Source organism: Homo sapiens, chromosome 4 (assembly GCF_000001405.40).
Source record: "Homo sapiens chromosome 4, GRCh38.p14 Primary Assembly".
Taxonomy (NCBI): Eukaryota; Metazoa; Chordata; class Mammalia; order Primates; family Hominidae; genus Homo; species Homo sapiens.
The window spans coordinates 33,487,297-33,507,803 of NC_000004.12; the positions used below are offsets into that span (position 1 = coordinate 33,487,297).

General features: G+C 35.1%; 1 long non-coding RNA gene across 1 annotated transcript in view, besides 1 other annotated feature; it reads left to right on the forward strand.

Annotated features, from left to right (window-relative positions):
* Positions 1-20,507, forward strand: part of LOC105374391 (uncharacterized) — a 52,893-nt gene that overhangs the window by 19,755 nt on the left and 12,631 nt on the right. The window lies entirely within an intron of this gene.
* Positions 5,903-7,102: an enhancer, noted in NCBI's record as "MED14-independent group 3 enhancer chr4:33494821-33496020 (GRCh37/hg19 assembly coordinates)". NCBI's record gives its function as "activates an origin of replication core promoter dependent on BRD2, BRD4, P300/CBP and CDK7 cofactors, and independent of MED14, by STARR-seq in HCT116 cells {active_cell/tissue: HCT116}" and the evidence as "EXISTENCE:reporter gene assay evidence [ECO:0000049][PMID:35650434]".

Here is a 20,507-nt window from a genome sequence, read left to right on the forward strand (position 1 = left end):
TTAGAGGGAAAAGAGAAGAATGAGGGCATTAATACAATTAAGTTAACACATCATACATAATCATAGCTACATCAAACACAGGAAGAAACTCCCTTTTATACTTTCCCTGCTACTCCAGCATCTACCTTCAATTTAACTCGTTAGCTGAGCAGGCACAATAAGCTAGGCAGTTAGCTACAGTACATCTCTCAGCAAAGCAGATTCAGCCTGGAAGATTTTCCTGTTTAGAGAGAAACTAGTGGTAAGATCTAAGATCAATGTGAATGAGGGAAAATGTGCTTCAGCTGCTTTTTTTTCACTGTAATACTTCTAACTTCTCAGAAAAGGACACATTTATTATTATTATTATTTTGAGGAAGGTCTCACTCTGTTGCTCACATTGGAGTTCAGTGGTGCTACCACGGCTCAGGGCAACCTTGATCTCTGGTGCTCAAGTGATACTCCCCCCTCAGCATCCTGAGTAGCTGGGACTACAAGCACATGCCACCATGCCCAGCTAATTTATTTTATTTTCTGTAGAGATAGGGTCTTCCTATGTTGTGCAGCCTTTAATCTCGAGCCCCTGCGCTAAAGCAATCCTTGAGCCTCAGCCTCTCAAAGTGCTAGGATTACAAGCATGAGCCACCACACCCAGTCGAAACTGACACTTTACTCTTCTCCCCTTCCTAGAACCTCCCTACTTATTTGATATCTAAACTGGCCATCTCCTCTTCTGCTTATTCAGATATATTGTGATACTCAAATCCTATTAAAATGATTCAAATTATAGGTTCTGGCCAGGTGCTGTGGCTCACACCTGTAATCCCAGCACTTTGGGAGGCTGAGCCAGGTGGATTGCCTGAGGTCAGGAGTTCGAGACCAGCCTAGCCAACACGGTGAAACCCCAACTCTACTAAAAATGCAAAAACTAGCTGAGCATGTTGGCAGGTGCCTATAATCCCAGCTACTCGGGAGGCTGAAGTAGAAGAATTGCTTGAACCCAGGAGATGGAGGTTGCAGTGAGCTTAGACTGTGCCACTGAACTCCAGCATGAGCAACAGAGCTAGACTCCATCTCAAATATATATATACAGAGAGAGAGGTTCTAATCATAACGAGTTGGTGTAACATCTTAATATTTAAAATGCACACATGATCTTTGATTTAGAATTTGTTTCTGGTATCTGTGCCTGCAGACCATCTATTTGGGGAGAGCCCTATATTGAGTGGATATTGGCGTGCTTCTGATGAAGGCTCAGCAAATCTCATACTCCTACTCAGACTCTGATTTTTGAAAGAAGATACTTATTCACAGGAAGTGCTTGGATTTCAACTGAGGTGGAGATGTCATTTCAGCAGGAGGTTTTCTAGGGCTATTGGCTTTGCCTGCTATTGGTAGGAGTATCTGAGTCCAGCAGGGTGTTAAAAATACATGCTGTGTTCTACCTTTCTTCAGTTTCCATGCCAGGACTCTCTGGGTTCTTGAACCTTTCTGAGGTCATTTCTAGTGTTTTTCAGCCAATTCTTTTATCACATTAAAGCTAGAAAACATAGATTAAAACACTCATCAACTCGTTTCAGCATTTAGAAAATCTCCAAAGCTTACTATTATTATTATTAATTTTTATTGAAACGAAGACTACTTATGAAACTCCAAAAGTTTGAAAACCTTTGTATAATAGGTTAATTTCGTTATATTATGCTCACCATACCTCCAATTATTCCCGATATAAAAATTCTAGAACGTGAAGATAGCCATTTCTACAGCAATCAGAATATCCTGAGCAAAAGGTAACAGTCACGTAGATTTTTCTTTCAAAGTGGTAACTTAAAGTTAAGGGATCAATCTGCAGGGCTATTTTAAATGATTGGCTCCTGGGAAGGATGACCTGGTGTCTTTCTACAATGGCATGGTGATGTACTTGAGGAAGGGAAGGAGAAGCAGGGTGAATCCACTGTGAATTTTTGTTTTCCAGGCTTTTTCTGAGGAGCATGGTTGATACATAGAAGTCACCTTAATTTTTTAATAGAAAAACTATTTCACATTCTTAAAATGTTATGCAAGTCATTATCCCTAACAACTTAACCAGCTGCTGTGCTTAACTATATTTCTCCGTATGAAAATGTGATGATTAATGTGACTAATGTAATGATACAAGTACCACTTACCTACTTTTAAGTTAAAGAACTAAATTCCCTATTCAAATGCATTGGGATTACAATATTTTCACATTAGCTTGCACAGTTCAGTGCTTCTATCTAGAAGTTTTTTTAGAGATCTCTGATTAACTGCATTATCCTCACACAGCTTAAGCAATTTTTTTATTAGCTGTATTTTTAACAGCACCCAGGGGAGTTAGAAATTATTTTTAAGGTTAAAAATGACTGTGTTTACACACCTTTTCATTGAAGACCTAATTAGCTAGGTAATTTGAATAGCAGCAGTTGAGAGTTTTATAAAATACTAGAAGAGAGGCTACTTTATAATCGTTTCCGCAGTGAAAACACTCTTGAAATAGTGCTTGATTTTATGAATAAACTGTATCAGGATACGTAGAGTTTTTAAAAAACTCGTACATTTTCCCTAGGATTAGGTAAAACTAACTTTGGAAGGGAATAAAAAATAACAGCCTATTACACTTTTGGATATTATTTATTCTGTAATTCTCCATTAAATTTATTCAATTTGGCACCTATGCAAGGATTTCTTTTACTCTATTCATCTTGGTCACAATACATTTAAGCTTAAGCTAATTTCTCCTACAGGGTATGCAAGGCAGACAGAGGTAAACTTTCAGGGTCAGAAAAATTCAGCCTGAGCATCTTCTACACAAGGTCCTTACCATCATCAAGAGAGAAACAGTAGTTCAAACTAGGGCTACTTAATGTACTGAAAGTACAGAGATTCGCCTGAATTGCACAATTTTCAGGTGGTCTTTTATGTTGCAATGAGAAATTTCAAGCATAATTTTTGCTCACACTTTGGGTTCTTAATGCCTTCCATTCAATCAGCATAGTTGTGTTGAGGCTAAATCCTCAAATACATTGAAAAGTAGCACTAAGAAAAATTAGGCCCCTAAATTATAATATTTCATAATATTTTTGATTTAGGGGCTCCAAAAGGACATACTTTTTCTACTCAAACAAATAGGAACAGTTATGAAAAACATACAGGAGTCAGGCAGGTGGAGATAAAAATATCTTTACTATTGATAAAGGTGCATGGAGAATATGGCTTAGGGGCTTCCAGATGGGCTTATTTATTTGCCCTCCAGCTAAATTACTCCCTCAAATCTTCCCACAAAGGCAGAGCCTGTCATGTAAACTTACTACAGTTTGGAGCAACAAAACAAAGATGTATCTTCTCTGCTGGCCCCAGGGCATAAAATATAGGCACAGAAGTTGCTGAGCCGTATGTTACAATTTAATAAATTAGTCTTTTCTTCCTGGGGTGGAAGGCAGAACAGATCAAAGCCCACTTGTTACACTAAAAGAAGTCCCTCTACGTGGAGACATGAAGAAGGAGAGAGAACTGATACGCCTTGACAACTGCTGACAATTTGGTATATAATGGCATATCGAATCATAGCTTTCCGTCCTTCGGTATTGGTTTATATTAATAAAACTGAGCCTGATAAAAAGAAAAGACTACCTGCCTGAAATAGAAATGGTCAGATAGGTATAAATGATTATTTAAACAACCACTAGCTTTATAGCATCATCCTGCTATATTATATAATACATCAGGTATAGAAGAGCAGTTAAAAGCAAAGAGTTCTGCTATCTTAATGCTCTTTTTATCTTTGGCCTCTGAAGAGGTAGGCTGGAAAGTTATTCTTGTAATGTAAATTATAGACATGGCTTTTAATGGTGTCAGCTGAGGCCATCATTTCATTTTACATAAAACACCAAACAGCTATTGGAAGTTAATGAACTTTCTTTATTAGCATATCAGGAACATTTAAACCAGTGATCTAGGAAAAAAAAAACAGCCCTGCATATCTGATCGTAAATTTTGGAACTCCCCATCACCTTGATTAATATTGTCTTCAGGATTGGGAAGAATGGTATTCAAATGCATGTGTATATTAGTGTGTTTTTTATTGTGGCATGTTTTATTATTATTTTTGGAAGGGAGCTGTATAATTTTATTCACTATTCTTATCATTATAATTTCCTTTTGGTTTTGTATACTACATAATGCTTTTTAAAATTATATGATACAATGTACTACACAATGCTTAAAAATATTTGGTTAGATGAATATAAATATATATTTAAGTTATATAAAATTATTTTTATGAATATATACATTAAAATTTACCTGTGTTAAGGACAAATACTTTAAAAGTAAGCATATAAATTTACTATTGGTGTATAGAAATGTTATTGATTTTTTTGTGTTGGTTTTGTATCCTGCAACTTTACTACATTGATTTTTAATAGGTTTCTGGTGGAGCCTTTAGAGTTTTCTATATATATATATATATAAAATCATGTTCTCTGCAAACAGTAACAACTTGACTTCCTTCTTTTCCAATTTGGACATCCTTTATTTCTTTCTCTTGTCTAATTGCTCTGGCTAGAATTCCAGCACTATGTTGAATAAAAGTGGAAAAAGTGAGTATTCTTGTCTTGTTCCAGATCATAGAGAAAAAGCTTTCAATATTTCCTCTTCAATGTGATGTAGGCTGTGGGTTTGGAATAAATGGTCTTTATTGTGTTTAGGTATGTTTATTATATACCCAATTTGCTGATAGTATTTATCATGAGGGTCTATTGAATTTTATCAAATGCTTTTTTGGTGTCTGTTGAAATGATCATACACTTTTTCTTTTTCATTTTCATTCTGTTAATTTGATATATCACATTTATTGATGTGTGTGTGTTGTACCATCCTTCCATCCCTGGGATAAATCTCACTTGATCATGGTGAATAATTTTTTTAATTTGCCGTTGAATTCAGTTTGTGAGTATTTTGTTGACAATTTTGGCTTCCATGTTCATCAGGGATATTAGCATGTAGTTTTCCTTTTTGCTGTGTCCTTGTCTGGTTTTGGTATCAGGCCTTGTAGGATAACTTTGGAACTATTCTGTCCTCTTTAATTTTTTGGAAGAGTTTGAGTAGAATTGGTATAATTTTTTTTAAATATTTGGCAGAAAACAAAGGTGAAGCCATCAGGCCCTAGGTTTTTCTTTGATGAGAGACTTGAAAAAACATAACTGTTACTTCAATTTTCTTACTTGTTATTGATCTGTTTAGGTATTCTATTTCTTTATGATTCAATCTTGGTAAGTTGTATGTGTCCTGGAATTTATACATTTCTTCTAGGTTTTTCCATTTGTTGTCATGCAGCTGTTTATAATAGTCTCATATGATCCTTTTGTTTCTGTGGTATAAACTCACATATGAGCCAGCAATTTCATTCTTTTATATATACATATATATATATATATATGTAATAAAACTAGTATATTGAAGCACCTATTTACAGATGAATGGATTTTTAAAATGTGATATACACACACACATAAAATCACACAATGGAATACTGTTCAATTAGAAGACAGCCTGAAAATCCTATAATTTGCGGCAACATGAATGAACCTAGAGGACATTATGTTAAGTGAAATGAGGCAGGGACAGAATGCCAAACACCTCATGATCTCATTTGTATGTGGACTCTAAAGAAGTTGATCTTATAGAAATAGAAATTAGAATACTGTAGAGGTCCCCAACCTTTTTGGCATCTGGGGCCAGTTTTGTGGAAGACAATTTTTCCACAGACTAGGGTGGAGTAGGGATGGTTTTGGGACTATTCAAGCACATTACATTTATTATGCAATTTATTTCTATTATTATTACACTGCAATATATAATGAAATAATTATACAACTCATCACAAGGTAGAATCAGTTAGAACCCTATGCTTGTTTTCGTGCAACTGGACTGTCCCATATGGGGGTGATAGGAGACAGTGACAGATCATCAGGCTTTAGATTCTCATAAGGATCATGCATCCTAGACCCCTTGCATGCACAGCTCACAATAGGGTTTGTGCTTCTATGAAAATCTAATGCTATGGCTGATCCGAAAGGAGCTGGAGCTCAGGAAATAATGTGAGTGATGGGGAGTGGCTGTAAATGCAGATGCAGCTTTGCTCACTCACCCATTGCTCACTTCCTGCTGTGCAGCCTGATTCCTGACAGGCCATAGACTGGTATAGGTCTGTGGCCTGGGGGTTGGAGACCCCTGGAATAGTGGTTATCAGAGCCTGTGGATGGTAGAAGGGAGAAAGAATGAGGAGAATTTCGTCAATGGGTACAAAGTTAGAATTAGGAAGATTAAGTTCTGGTGTTCTATTACATAGTAGGGTGACTATAGTTAATGATGATGCATATTTCAAGATAGCTAGAATAGAGGATTTTGAATTTTATCCCTACATATACATGTTTAGAGTGAAAAATATGCTAATTACCTTGATTTGATAATTATGTAATTATACATGCTAAATATGTATAATTATGTGACTATTACAAATAAAATAAAACTTTTTAAAAAGTAAGCACGTAAACTTAATCACCACTTAGACAAAGATAAGGCACATTAGCAACATCCAGAAGTCTCTTAAGCACCATCCTAATTATTAATCCCCCAAGATGAACATCGATTTCTATCTCTGTAGATTACATTACCTGTTTTTGAACATTGTAGAAATGAATTATTAGGTGTATGATGGTTTGTCTGCTTCTGTTGGCACAACAGTTTATCCTTAATACTTATCCATGCCGTTGTGTATAATGGTAGTGTTTTTTTTCTGTGTGGGTTAATATTCTACTACATATTATATTTATTTTTTCTATTTTTGATGGGCATACACTTGAGTTTTTTCCAGTTTTTTAGTATTTGTATATGCTTTCTATTAACTTCCTGTTCGTGTGGGAAATATATGCACTCATTTTCACTGCATATGTACTGAAGAGACCTTGACGAACATATATGTGCATTTCTACTGGTCATATACTTAGGAGTAAAAATGCTGAGTCATTGAACTATTGGTTCAGCTCCAGTAAATCATGTCAAGGAGGACTCCAAAGTGATTTTCTCACCAGCAGCATATGAGAGTTCCAGCTGCCTCACTCTCTTGCCAGTCCTTGGTATTATCAGTATTTTCATTTTAGTCACAGGGAGATTAATAGTTTAATCTTGTAACTTTCTGAAGTTTAAGCTTAGTTTTTCCTGGTGACAGCATTTTCATATACACACTGCAATTAGATACTCCTCACTGCAATTAGATACTCCTTTTACTTACTGCTGCCTGTTGAATGGTATCAGTCAAATTACACCGGATTGCCTATTTATTTATTGTATGTTCGGGTTCATATACGAATCATTTGTCAGATATTAGTATTGAAATGATTATCCTACCTTGTAGCTTGCTTTTAATTCTCTCAATAGTGTCTTCATTAATAAAGTACAAGGAAACACCCTCTGGAATCTTTATTACTATGATCCATCTGCAATATAATTTTGTGTATTTATAGTATGAGGGAAGGTGAAGGTTTACTTTTTAACAAAAATACACAAATGCAAATGAACCATTAAAATAAATCTGTTTCAAAGTTTCAGTGACCCCTTTTTATAAATCAAGTGACCTCATGTACCTGAGGGTTTTTTTTTTTGACTGTTTTCTTGATCATCTCTTTTATTCATATATGTGTCCACCTTTGCTCCACTTCCATCCTGCATTGATTACTGTAGTTTTATAATAATTCTTGAAGTGTGGTTATGTAAGCCATCAAACAATTTTTTTCTAACTTAAAATTATCTTTGTGGTTATTGATTTTCAAGTATATTTTAAAATCAGCCTCTCAATTTATGCACACAATTGTGCACACATGCACAAGTGGTTTTGACTGGATTTGCATTATATCCATAAAATGGAGAAAAGTGCTATATTTATAATATAGGATAGAGTTTTAGTTTTTTTGTTATGTTCCTTTATTTTTAGTAATACCTATTGCCTAGACTTTTCTTTTATGTTACTATAGCTATACCTACTCTATTCTGTTATGGTTCACATGCTTTATTATTTAAAAAAAATTATTTTAATATTTCTCTGTTCTTATACTTTAGGTCCTTATTGCTCTAATGTACAAATAATCTTTACTTAAAATTCAGTCTACTAAATTTACAGAAAAATAAATGTTAAAAGTAGTGTTGCAGGAATTTCCCAGTTTATCTATGTATGAGTAGCTATTATTAGACCAACATACTTTGTTATAAAAGAAGTTTAAAAACCTGGAAAAATATATGGTAGGCACTGGAAAACACTGAATGTATCCATGAGCTTTTCTAGAATATGAGGTCCCTTTGTCATGTTTTGAATGTAAGTATTAAAGGAAGAAACTAATCATAATATAATTCAAGTTATTTACCCAAGATTCTCTAAATTTTCATTTTGGGTTATCCACACTTCATTCTTTTCTATCCTTTTTGTCTCTGGTCTTCTTTAAATGTTTTATCCTACGTCTAATATGTCTTAAGGACCCACAAATTCCATGCACGAGAGCTCCACCAATATGATCTAATCACTTTTCAAGGGCCACACCTCCTAATGCCATTACATTGGTAATTAGGTTTCAACACATGACTTTGGAGGTTCACAAAATTCAGACCATAGCAGGGACTATGAGCCCAGTGGTGATTCTGGAGTTTGGACAATGCTTAGAAATATTGGCGATGCAATAAGCCAGAGGAAACAAACTCACAGGAAATCAGCTGGAACCTCAGGAACATCATAACTTATGGATAGAAATACTCTTATTTTAGATTAAGATCTTCTCTAAACTCACTGTAATAAAGTCCTAAAACAAACCTGGCAAATATAAAGGTTATCATCTAGCAAATTAACTGATTGCCAGAAAAAAGTTAACAGTATTTCAAGAAAGAAAAATCCAGAAACTCAACAATATTGCACCCATATTAGTAAGCATATGATAAAGAATTAAGCGATATTTGAAGAAAGAGAAAAATATAATTATTGAAAAATATAAAGTTAGATAAAAACAGACCCAGAGATCACACAAATGACAGAATTGTCAAACCAGAACTTTCACAGAGCTATTTTAAATATTGCCAAAAATGTCGTAGTAGGCAGAATTCCCAGATGGTTCACAAGATTACTATCTACTGGTATACCCATCCTGCATATTCCCATCCTCTTGAGTCTATGTAAGACAGGTATGCATATGATCGATGTCACTCCTGTGACTGGGTTATGTTACATGGTAAACATAAAAAAAAGTTGATGATGTAATTGCAGTCCTTAAACAGTTTGACTTTGAGTTAAATCAAAAGAGACATTATGCTGGTTGAACCTGATCTAATAAAATAGATGGCCAAGTTCTTCCATGGGAACAAAGAAAGTATCCTTCTGGAATTGAATGAAACATTCATGTTGTAAATAGTCGATGGAGAAAATACATGTCCTACCTAGACTTTGGGCAATCTCAAGCAACTGAATATGGCCTCCAGTTGAAGACCAGCAAAAATCCAGGTCCTTCCGTAATAAATCTCAAGAAAATGAATTTGGCCAACCTGAATAAGCTTTAAGGTTGATACTTCCCCTAACTAAGCCTCCAAATATCTACCTCCTTGATTGTATCCATATAAAACCCTGAGCAGAGTCCATGCCTTATTCATTAATATTGTTAATGTCTAATGTTTGATATATAGTTGATAGTAAATAAACATCTGTGGTTGAACTGAGTTAATGTCTTGCTTTACATATATATAATTTAATTTTTTATTACCTGTTTGCCTTTTAGTGAGTTAATTGACAAGTCTGGAATATTTCTAAGCTTGACATCATTAAGAATTAAGTTTATATTTCAAATTTCTTTTGAAGCCAGTCATCTCTGTAATATCATAGTTGGAACATTTGCTCTAGCAATTTACTGGCTTATATAGCCTTTACTATAAAACTGATACATGGTCATACAAGGACTTTTTTTCAATTCATTTTACTAATTTTTAAGAAATAATATCCAGTAAAATTATACAATAGCAAGGTTACAGTGTGAACACACTATAACACTGCCAAAAAATAGGTTGCTCTTTTTTTTTAGTTCAATGCCATTTAAGTACAGATAGAGATAATTTCCTCAACTATCTTGATTATCCAGAAGTTTTCTTTCATTTCATGTTTATTCTGAAGGACATTCTAGGAGATATCCTCACAGAGCAGAAGGAAGACTTGTAGTTTTGACAAATAAAAGTTTTAATGAGTAGTGTGCCACCATGGATTCTTGTAAAATAGAGCGAAGTTCTTGCTAAAATGAAATCAAGATAGTTAATTGATGCATTAAGATAATATGAAGTTTCCCCTAGCATAAAGCCTAGATGGACACTTGGGAGAAGTATGATCTAGTTCAAATTTTCAGCACTCAACATCATACACAGCAATCCTCACCATAACCAAGATATGGAAGCAACCTAAGTGTCCATCAATGAATGAATGAATACAGAAAATGCGTTATATACACAGAAACTGTGTTATATATACACAATGTAATACTATACAGCCTTAAAAAATTCTGTCGTTTGTGACAGTATGGATGAACTTGAGAACATTATGCTAAGTGAAATAATCCAGGCAAAGAAAGACATATACTGAGTGATTTCATTTATATATGCAATCTAAAAACGTTGATCTCGTAGAAAAAGAGAATAGAATGGTAGCCACCAGAGGCTGGGGATTGAGGGAGGTTGATGGAGAAAGGGTAAATGTTTGTCAAAGGGTACAAAGTTTCAGTTAGAAAAGAAATAGAAGATTCAGTTATCTATTTCATCACCCAGCATGGTGAATTTAGTTAATAATAATGTATACTTCAAAATTAGAAAAAGAGAAGATTTTAAACATTCTCACTAAAAAGTGTAAGTAGGTGAAGTGTTGAATTTGTTAATTGGCTTAGTTGAATCTTTCTACAATGTATACATGTTTGACAATATCACATTGTAACGTGTGTGTGTGTGTGTGTGTGTGTGTGTGTGTATATAGTGACTTGTGGCTACATCTCTCGTTACTCTAACTTAACACCACTGTTTTTTTTTTCCTCTCTATGTATGTATATGTGTGTGTGTGTGTGTGTGTGTGTGTGTGTGTGTATAAATATATATATAAACAGTTATTTTTTGTCAATTGTAAAAAAAACAAACATCTTATATCTTGGCATTATTGTTACTTATTCTTTCTCTCCCCAACAAAAACTCTACTTATGGGCCATTTCATCTGCTTTGGGCTCCCGGTGTTTGGATTCTTTCTAGTCTCCTCCTTTCTTTCCCAGCAACCTGTCCCCAAAATATCTATATCACCACACCAACAACTCTACTCTCTTTTCCTAAATACTAGTACTTCATGCCTACTCAGAAATAAGAACACCTGGCAACAAATTAGGTACACGGAAAAAACAACTATTTTCTCTTCCCTTTTCCTTTCCAAATATTTGACTGCCTCATTTTTTTCTTCATGCAGAAAAGACAATAATAGTTGTTAGGTTTTCCTCACTTCTTTATTATCAAATACATTTGACCTTACTACATTGTCATAACATAATGCATTGAAATATGTACAGGGATGAAGAGTAAGACAAGGAAATAAAAATCATCATGAAAAAACTACTTGAAGAGAAGAAATGAAAAAATCATATTGGGAAGAAAGAAGCGAAAACAGTGAAAATTTCCATAGAAGAGTGGAGTTTGGTAGATTTAGGAAATCAAGAGAATACCAATGTGGCTGGAACTTAACAAGAAAGAGACTGAAATGCAGAAGGTGAGATAAGGTGGGACTGAAGGAGGTAGTAATGGACGCATCAAGCAGGGCTCCATACAGCTGTTGGTTAATCATCGCAAACTTTACCCTAAAAGCAATAAAAGTCTGCCAAAAGGAATCCACATTAGTTTCCTATAATGCTGTAACAAACTACCACAAACTAGGTGGCTTAAGACAATAAAATTTATTCTCTCACAGTTCTGGAGGCCAAAGTTCTATAACCAAGGTATGGGCAGCTCCACTCCCTCTGAAAACTCTAGGGGGACTATGTTCCCTGTGACTTTCTGCATCTGTACATTATTGGCATCCTTTGGCTTGTGGCCACATCTCTTGTTACTCTAACTCAACACCACTGTTGTTTTTTTGTTTTTTCCTCTCTGTCTATGTCTAGTTGCCTTTTAATTTACCCGTTTTTTGCAGTCGGAAAAGGGAGGAGTGTTTTAACAGTCTTTTCAGATAATTGTGGATATTCCCTTTGATACTACACCAAATCTCTGCAAGTGGTAGTTTCATAAAGTTTGTTTGCATTCTGCAATCTGAAACCATATCAGTAAACTTTTCTCACTTTATTGTATTTAAATTCATTGGTCTAGCTTTCCATTTGGATCTTTCCTGCTCATACATGATATGGAAAATATTGGTTCATGGAATTAAATGTTAGAACATTTTATATTACCATCAAAAAAATACAGTTGTTAAAATCAGCAGTAATCTCATTAGAAGTCTTCTTTCCCTCCAGCTCTATTGAGATATAATTGGTATGCAAAAACCTGCATATAATCATTATATATAATTTGGTGAGTTTGGACAAATGTATACACTCCTGTTACCACCACCACCACAATCCAGATGATAAACATGTCCATCACCTCCAAAGTTTCCTTGTGTCCTTGTGTTTTATTTTCATTTTTATTTCGTGTATGTTAAGGACACTTAACATAAGATGTACCCTCAACAAATTTAAGTACACACTACCTTCTTATTAGCTGTGTGCATATTGGGAAAGCTGTCATGCTCTTAGTGGCAGATACAATTTTTCCAAGTGTCTATATTTTTGCTTGAAGGCTTGACTTTTATCACCATCAACAAATATGTCAGTGATTTTTTTTTGATATAACAGTTTCATTTTGTTTTTGAGAAAATGTCTGCCAAATGCCCAACTTTCAATACTAATACTTTGTCTTTCAATTGTTATTTCATGTAAAAAGGATATTCTATGAGAACAAAGAAGCTGCTAGTTCAGCTTGCTGATCAGTTAGCATAGATTCTTTTCCTTGAGGCAACCATCATACATCAGTATGCTGCACAACTCCTTCATGTGAACTCATGAACTCAGGGGTCAAGCTTTCATGCAATTGCTAATGTTCACTGTTTCATCAGGTATATTCCTATATGAAACCATCCTTTTTTTTTTTTCCACTGTGAGTTCACAGTGGTAATGATGACCTATACCGGTGGTGCCAGTGCCTTGATTTGTGCTAAGGTGCCAGCAATTTTCAACACCCTTGCTTTTATCATCATCAGTGCTTAATGTCAGCCTGTGAAAGTTGTGAGTGACCTGTTTGCATTATTATTATGATTTTTTGTGATGTCATAGACATCCTGAAAGTTGCTTGAGAACCCCCAATGTGTCTTGAAGCACTTTGAGAACAGCTGGCTTGCCAGTTCAGTTGAGGGTGGGCTCCTCACAGTGATCTGTCTCCTCTGAGGTCACTCAACTGCATCAAGCTTCTCCTTTGCTTACTAACTTCTAAAGCTATCTTTTTAGAAGCAGTGACCAACTACTTCTTGGTTCAGCTGTGCTGTAGTTTTCCAAGTGAATGAAAATTTGATAACACTACGAAAGAAAATATTTCTGAGACAGGCAACTCCTGACCTGTATGAAGTTGTACATTTTGCTTTCTTAACACAATAAATTCATCCATAAACTTGCTTATACATGATTGACTTTCTTCATTTGTTAAGATGAAGATAATCACAAAGAGAATACGAAGAAATGTTTTGTTCATTTATCAAGAAGAATTTGGTCATCATAATTAAATTTTTAAAAAGCAGGCTACCACTTGTTGTAATGCTTTTTATTTAATGGACGATTTAATGTGTTCTTTTTTTAATTTCCTGTAAATAGTAATCAGATATTACTATTTTGGGACAAAAATAGTCCCAAATAGTAATCAGATATTACTATTTTGGGACAAAACTGCTTCATAGGTGGTGGAGTGTATTTCTCACCTGAGTCAGGTAATGTTGTCTGTCTCTCTATTTTTGGAGGATTCATGACTATTGACAACCATTGCCTAGATTCGTTATTTCATCAGGGGTTTGCAAAATGGTGATATTTTTATTGCCTTCGTTTTTTAGTTATTAGAATACTTTCATAAAGAGAAACTTTCCATCATCAACGATTTGAGATCTAGTTAGTAGAGAAAAGTTAGGTTAAATGCCTGATGCTTTTTCTTATTTTTAAAATCAATTTAAAAAAAAAATTACTCCCATAAGTCTTTGCAGAACAGGTGGTATTTGGTTACATGAGTAAGTTCTTTAGTGGTGATGTGTGAGATTTTGGTGCACCCATCACCTGAGCAGTATACACTGAACCAAATTTGTAGTCTTTTATCCCTCAACCCTCTCCCACCCTTTCCGCCCGAATCCCCAAAGTCAATTACGTCATTCTTATGTCTTTTCATCCTCATAGCTTAGCTCCCATTTATGAATGAGAACATACAATGTTTGATTTTCCATTCCTGAGTTACCTCACTTAGAATAATAGTCTTCAATCACATCCAGGTTGCTGCAAACGCCATTACTTCATTCCTTTATATGGCCGAATAGTTTTCCATTACGTACATATATGTGTGTGTGTGTGTGTGTGTGTGTATATATATGTATATATGCCACAGTTTCTTTGTCTACTCATTGATTGATGGGCATTTGGGTTGGTTCCACATTTTTGCAATTGTGAATTGTGCTGCTATAAATGTGTGTGCAAGTATCTTTTTTATAAAGTGATTACTTTTCCTCTGGGTAGATACCCAGTAGTGGGATTGCTAGATCAAAAAGTAGTTCTACTTTAGTTTTTTAAGGAATCTCCACACTGTTGTCTATAGTGGTTGTATTAGTTCACATTTCCACCAGCAGTGTAGAAGTGTTCCCTTTTCACTGCATCCCCACCAATATTTATTATTATTTGATGTTCTGTCTATGGCCGTTCTTGCAGGAGTAAGGTGGTATTACATTGTGGTTTTGATTTGCATTTCCCTGATCATTAGTGATGTTGAGCATTTTTTTCAAATGTTTGTTGGCCATTTGTGTATCTTCTTCTTAGAATTGTCTATTCATGTCCTTGGCCCATTTTTTGATGGGATTGTTTGCTTTTTTCATGCTAATTTGAATTTATTGTAGATTCTGAGTATTAGTCCTTTGTCAGATGTATAGATTGTGAAGATTTTCTCCCACTCTGTGGGTTATCTGTTTACTCTGCTAACTGTTCCTTTTGCCATGCAAAAGCTCTTTAGTTTAAATCCCACCTATTTATCTTTGATTTTATCACGTTTGGTTTTGGGTTCTTGGTCATGAAATCCTTGACTAAGCCAATGTCTAGAAGGGTGTTTCTGATGTTATCTTGTAGAAGTTTTATAATTTCAGGTCTTATATTTAAGACCTTGATCCATCTTAAGTTGATTTTTGTATAACGTGAGAGGTGAGGATTCAGTTTCATTCTCCTACATGTGGCTTGTCAATTATCCCAACACCATTTGTTGAATAGTGTGTCCTTTCCTCACTTTATGATTTTGCTTGCTTTGTCAAAGATTAGTTGGCTATTGGTATTTGGCTCTATTTCTGGGATCTCTATTCTGTCCCATTGGTTTGTATGCCTATTTTTATACCAGTACCATGCTGTTTTGGTGACTATGGCTTTACAGTATAGTTTGAAATCAGGTTTTGTGATGTCTCCAGATTTGTTCTTTTTGCCTAGTCTTGCTTTGGCTATGCCGACTCTTTTTTGGTTCCATATGAATTTTAGGATTGTTTTTCTAGTTCTCCAAAGAATGATGGTGGTATTTTGATGGGATTTGCATTGAATTTGTAGATTGCTTTTGGCAGTATGGTCATTTTCACAATATTTATTCTACCTATGTATGAGCGTGGCATATGTTTCCAATTGTTTGTGCCATCTAACATTTCTTTCAGCAGTATTTTGTAGTTTTCCTTGTAGAGGTCTTTCACCTCCTTGGTTAGGTATATTCCTACATATTTTATTTTTTGGAGCTATTGTAAAAGGGGTGGAGTTATTTATTTGATTCTCAGCTTGGTCACTGGTGGTGTATAGGAGAGCTACTGATGTGTATACATTAATACTGTACTCTGAAATTTTGCTGAATTCATTTATCAGTTCTATGAGCATTTTGGAGGAGTCTGCAGGGTTTTCAATCAGGGTATACAATCATATCATCAGCAAACAGTGACAGTTAGATTTCCTCTTTATTGATTCAGATGCCCTTTATTTATTTCTCTTGTCTGAATTTTCTGGCTAGGACTTCTAGTACTTTGTTGAATAGAAGTGGCAAGAGTTGGCATCTTGTCTTGTTTTAGTTCCCAGGGGGATTTCTTTCAACTTTTTCCCATTCAGTATTATATTGACTGGGGGTTTGTCATAGATGACTTTTATTACATTGAGGTAAGTCCCTTGTATGCTGATTTTGCTGAGGGTTTTAATCATGAAAGCATGATGGATCTTGTCAAATGCTTTTTTCTTATGAGGAGACATGTAATTGGAATCAGGGCCAACCAGATAATTCAGGTTAATTTCCTCATCTCAAAATATTTAACTTAATTAAATATGTAAAGCTCCACAGATTTGTGTTTTAAGCTATCTGAAATTGTTTGAGCAAATATTTTTTGAAGTGAATTCAGAAATCAGGACAGAAACCACACTGGGTCCAGGACCATATTAAATCTAATAGTTAACTGGATTGGGTCTAGCTAGAAGTTTGAATGTCTGACTGGGTCAGAAAAAAAAATGGCAGTAAATGGCAATATTGCAGGGAGTGAAAGCTCTTGCTTTCAGAAATTCATGGGAATTTTTGTGTTTTATCCATTTTGCTTCTTGTTCTGTACTTAGGTAGGAAAAAATCATTGACTAAGTTGCTCAAAGGGATCTAAGAGCCAAATCCAAGTTTTGATGTCAAAATGAGATTCTTAATTTCTGAAGAACTGAGTAATCAACCTTGCAGATATGCCTACATTTATGTGTATAAGTATTAGGCCCCAGAAGCAGCAAATGCTTACAAAAAATGCAAAATTTTACTATAGATAATTTAAAATTACAGTGGGACATTCCATATGAGCAGTGTTGCACTTTAAGACATGCATTTCAAGATGAGATCTCCTGAATTAGGCTAATCCAGGGATGCTGGTTGAAGCTTCTAAAAAGCCTGAAACTCCCTTTTAAAAGACTTTATAAAAGGAAAACAAAAAACTTAAGCAACCAATTGCAAAGAAAAATGGAATCTACTAACCTTTTGGCTTAGTTATCATTCCCCTCTAAAGGTTAAAAAAAAGCAGGATAAAGTGTTTATAAGAGATAGGCCCTCAGGTTAAGTAGGCTCACTTCTTTCTTGGAGCTACTCATGCTGAGTCCAGACATAGAAAATGTTTTCTTTGCCCTTTTCCTTAAGGGTCTCCACTCTGAACTCAGTAAATTTTTGTGACTTAGATAGATATTTTGAAACTCTTTTGTAAAAGAAATTTACATCTAGAAAAGAAATCTCCCTTTGTAAGGGTGTCTGCCTCTATGAACCTGGAGGAGAGGGAAGACTGAGTCACTTAGAAACTCTTATCATTGGTTTAAATTTACATAACAAGTCTTATTTAAGTTTAAGGTGCTTTTTCAGGACATCTTGTCTTAACTGGGTCTTTACCTCCTTCTTTCCTTGTTTGGGTAAAACTGATATACTATTTAGGCATAAAGTTCTAGCTGTGTGTTTTTGACATATAAATTTTCCATCTTGTTTCACCTAAGAGTTGTCCATTTAGAAGTGATAATTTATGATTTACTAATTAATAATTGCTTAAGAAAATAAACAGGTAATTTAAAAATTGATAGTCTGAATGTGGAAAAGAAAAGCTATTTGGAATTTGGCAAAAAACACACAATCTGATTGAAAGCTATAAGATCTATTTCTATCTGTGTCTGTATGTCAGTATGTTTATGTGTTATGTGTATATGGTAGTTCTATGTGATTTCAGATATTATTTGGTAAATAAAGCTAATTTTAAAATTGTAGGTAAAATAAAACAGAAATGTCTTCAAGATTGCCAGTATTAAATATAATTTAGACATTTTTTTCCTGGGCCTAATGGTCAGACTGGTTTATGCTATCCTAAAACATATTTTGGGGTCATAAAACTGCAGCTCCTGTAATATTTTTGATACATGCTTGATTTGTCTATAAGCTAAAGTTGTAAGTGCTGGCTACTGGGTTCCTCTAACATCTTGCCCACACCTTACTGTGAGATTAGTGTCTTTGGTTTTGAGCCTCTAGATAGGTGGCCATGGTGAGGCCTGGAGGCACATGCATGTCCTCAGCATATGTGCCACCAGCTGCAAGGCAAAGTCCTGTTTTCCCTAGCCTGAGTGTACCTTCTGACCAGGTGGGAAGGTTTGTATCCTCCAGGCATCATCTTCACAGCTCTAGACTCTGTCCTAAGCTTTATATCTGCTATGTCAATTGTGAATCCAGACAAGCTCTGTCCTTCAGAGTTATCCTGTCATATGGACAACTGGGAACCCTGGAGAATAAAAGAAGACAGTAGAGATGATACTTGTGTTATTGTAAAAAATTATTTTTAGTTATTTTAAATAAATAAAATGAAATAAGTCATTATATTTAATTAAGTAATAAATAATCATAAAATATCAGTCATTTCTAAGCAAGTTAAGATACTGAAACATTAATTATTAGATATACATTTAAGTTTTTATGCTTTGACATTTTATATAGTATAAAAAGCTACATATATTTATATCTGTTAATAAACAAAAAATTGAGAAAACATATCTTTCTGAATGATATGAAATAATTTTCAACCTTAAATATTAATATAAAACCGTTTAAATCATATGTTTTCTAGATTTTTTCACTGATAATTAGGGTTATTAAAAGTAAAAATTGTAGTTGATATAAGTAATTAAAACTAGTGAATATAAGAGAAACAATTCTATATACAGAGTGTATGAGGAAAGCAAGGTATATTTTTGACAAGGAAAGTTTTAAAGGCATGAAAATGTGTGTTTGTTGAGAAGAAATAATTTCATGTAGTATAAAAGTTATTTAAAGTTTTATATGGTTTGGTTCTGTGTCCTGAACCAAATCTCATCTTGAATTGTAGTTTTCATAATCCCCTTGTATTGTGGGAAGGACCCAGTAGGAGGTAATTGAATCATGAGGTTGGTTATCCCCATGCTGTTCTTGTGATAGTGAGTGAGTTCTCACAAGATCTGATGGTTTTATAAGGGGCTTTTCACTTTTTGCTCAGCATTTCTCTCTCCTGCCACCATGTGAACAAGAACATGTTTGCTTCCCCTTCTGCCATAATTGCAAGTGTCCTGAGGCCACCCAGGCATTCAGAACTGTGAGTCAATTAAACACCTTTCCTTTATAAATTACCCAGTCTCAGGTATACCTTCACAGCAGCATGAAAAGGAACTAATATAGTAAATTTGTGCCACAGAGAGTAGGGTGCTGATACAATGATGCCCCAAAACATGGAAGCTATTTTGGAATTGGGTAATAGCCTGAGGCTAGAACAGTTTGGAGAACTCAGAAGAATACAGAAAGATGTGGGAAAGTTTAAAACTTCCTAGAGACTTCTTAAATGGCTTTGACAAAAATGCTGATAGTGATATGGATAATAAAGTCCAGCCTGAAGTGGTTTCAGATGGAGATGAGGAACTTATTGGGAACTGGAATAAAGGTGATATTTGCTATGCTTTAGCAAAGAGACTGGTGGCATTTTGCCCCTTCCCTAGAGATCTGTGGTCTTTGAACTTGAGGGAGATGACATAGGGTATCTGGCAGAAGAAATTTCTAAACAGCAAAGTGTTCAAGAAATGACAAAGCATAAAAGTTTGGAAAATTTGCAGCCTGATGTTATAATAGAAAAGAAAAACCCATTTTCTAGGGATAAATTCAAGCCCACCACAGAAATTTGCATAAGTAAACAGGAGTCAAATGTTAATCACTGAGAAAATGGGGAAAATGTCTCCAGAGCATGTCAGAGACCTTTGTGGCAGCCCCTCCCACCACAGGCCTAAAGGCCTAGGACAGTAAAATTGTTTCATGGGCCATGTTCAGGGCCTTGCTTTGGGCAGTCTTGCAACTTGGTGCCCTATGTCTCAGCCATGGCTAAAAGTGGCCAACCTACAGCTCAGATCATTGCTTCAGATGATACAAGCCCCAATCCTTGACAACTTACACGTGGTGTTGGGCGTGTGGGTACATAGGTGGGAAACTCTACCTAGATTTCAGAGGATGTATGGAAATGCCTGGATGTTCAGGCAGAAGTTTGCTGCAGGGGCAGAGCCCTCATGGAGAACCTCTGCTAGGGCAATGCAGAAGGGAAATGTGAGGTTAGAGCCTCCAAACGGAGTCCCCCAACTAGGGCACTGCCTAGTGGAGCTGTGAGAAGAGGG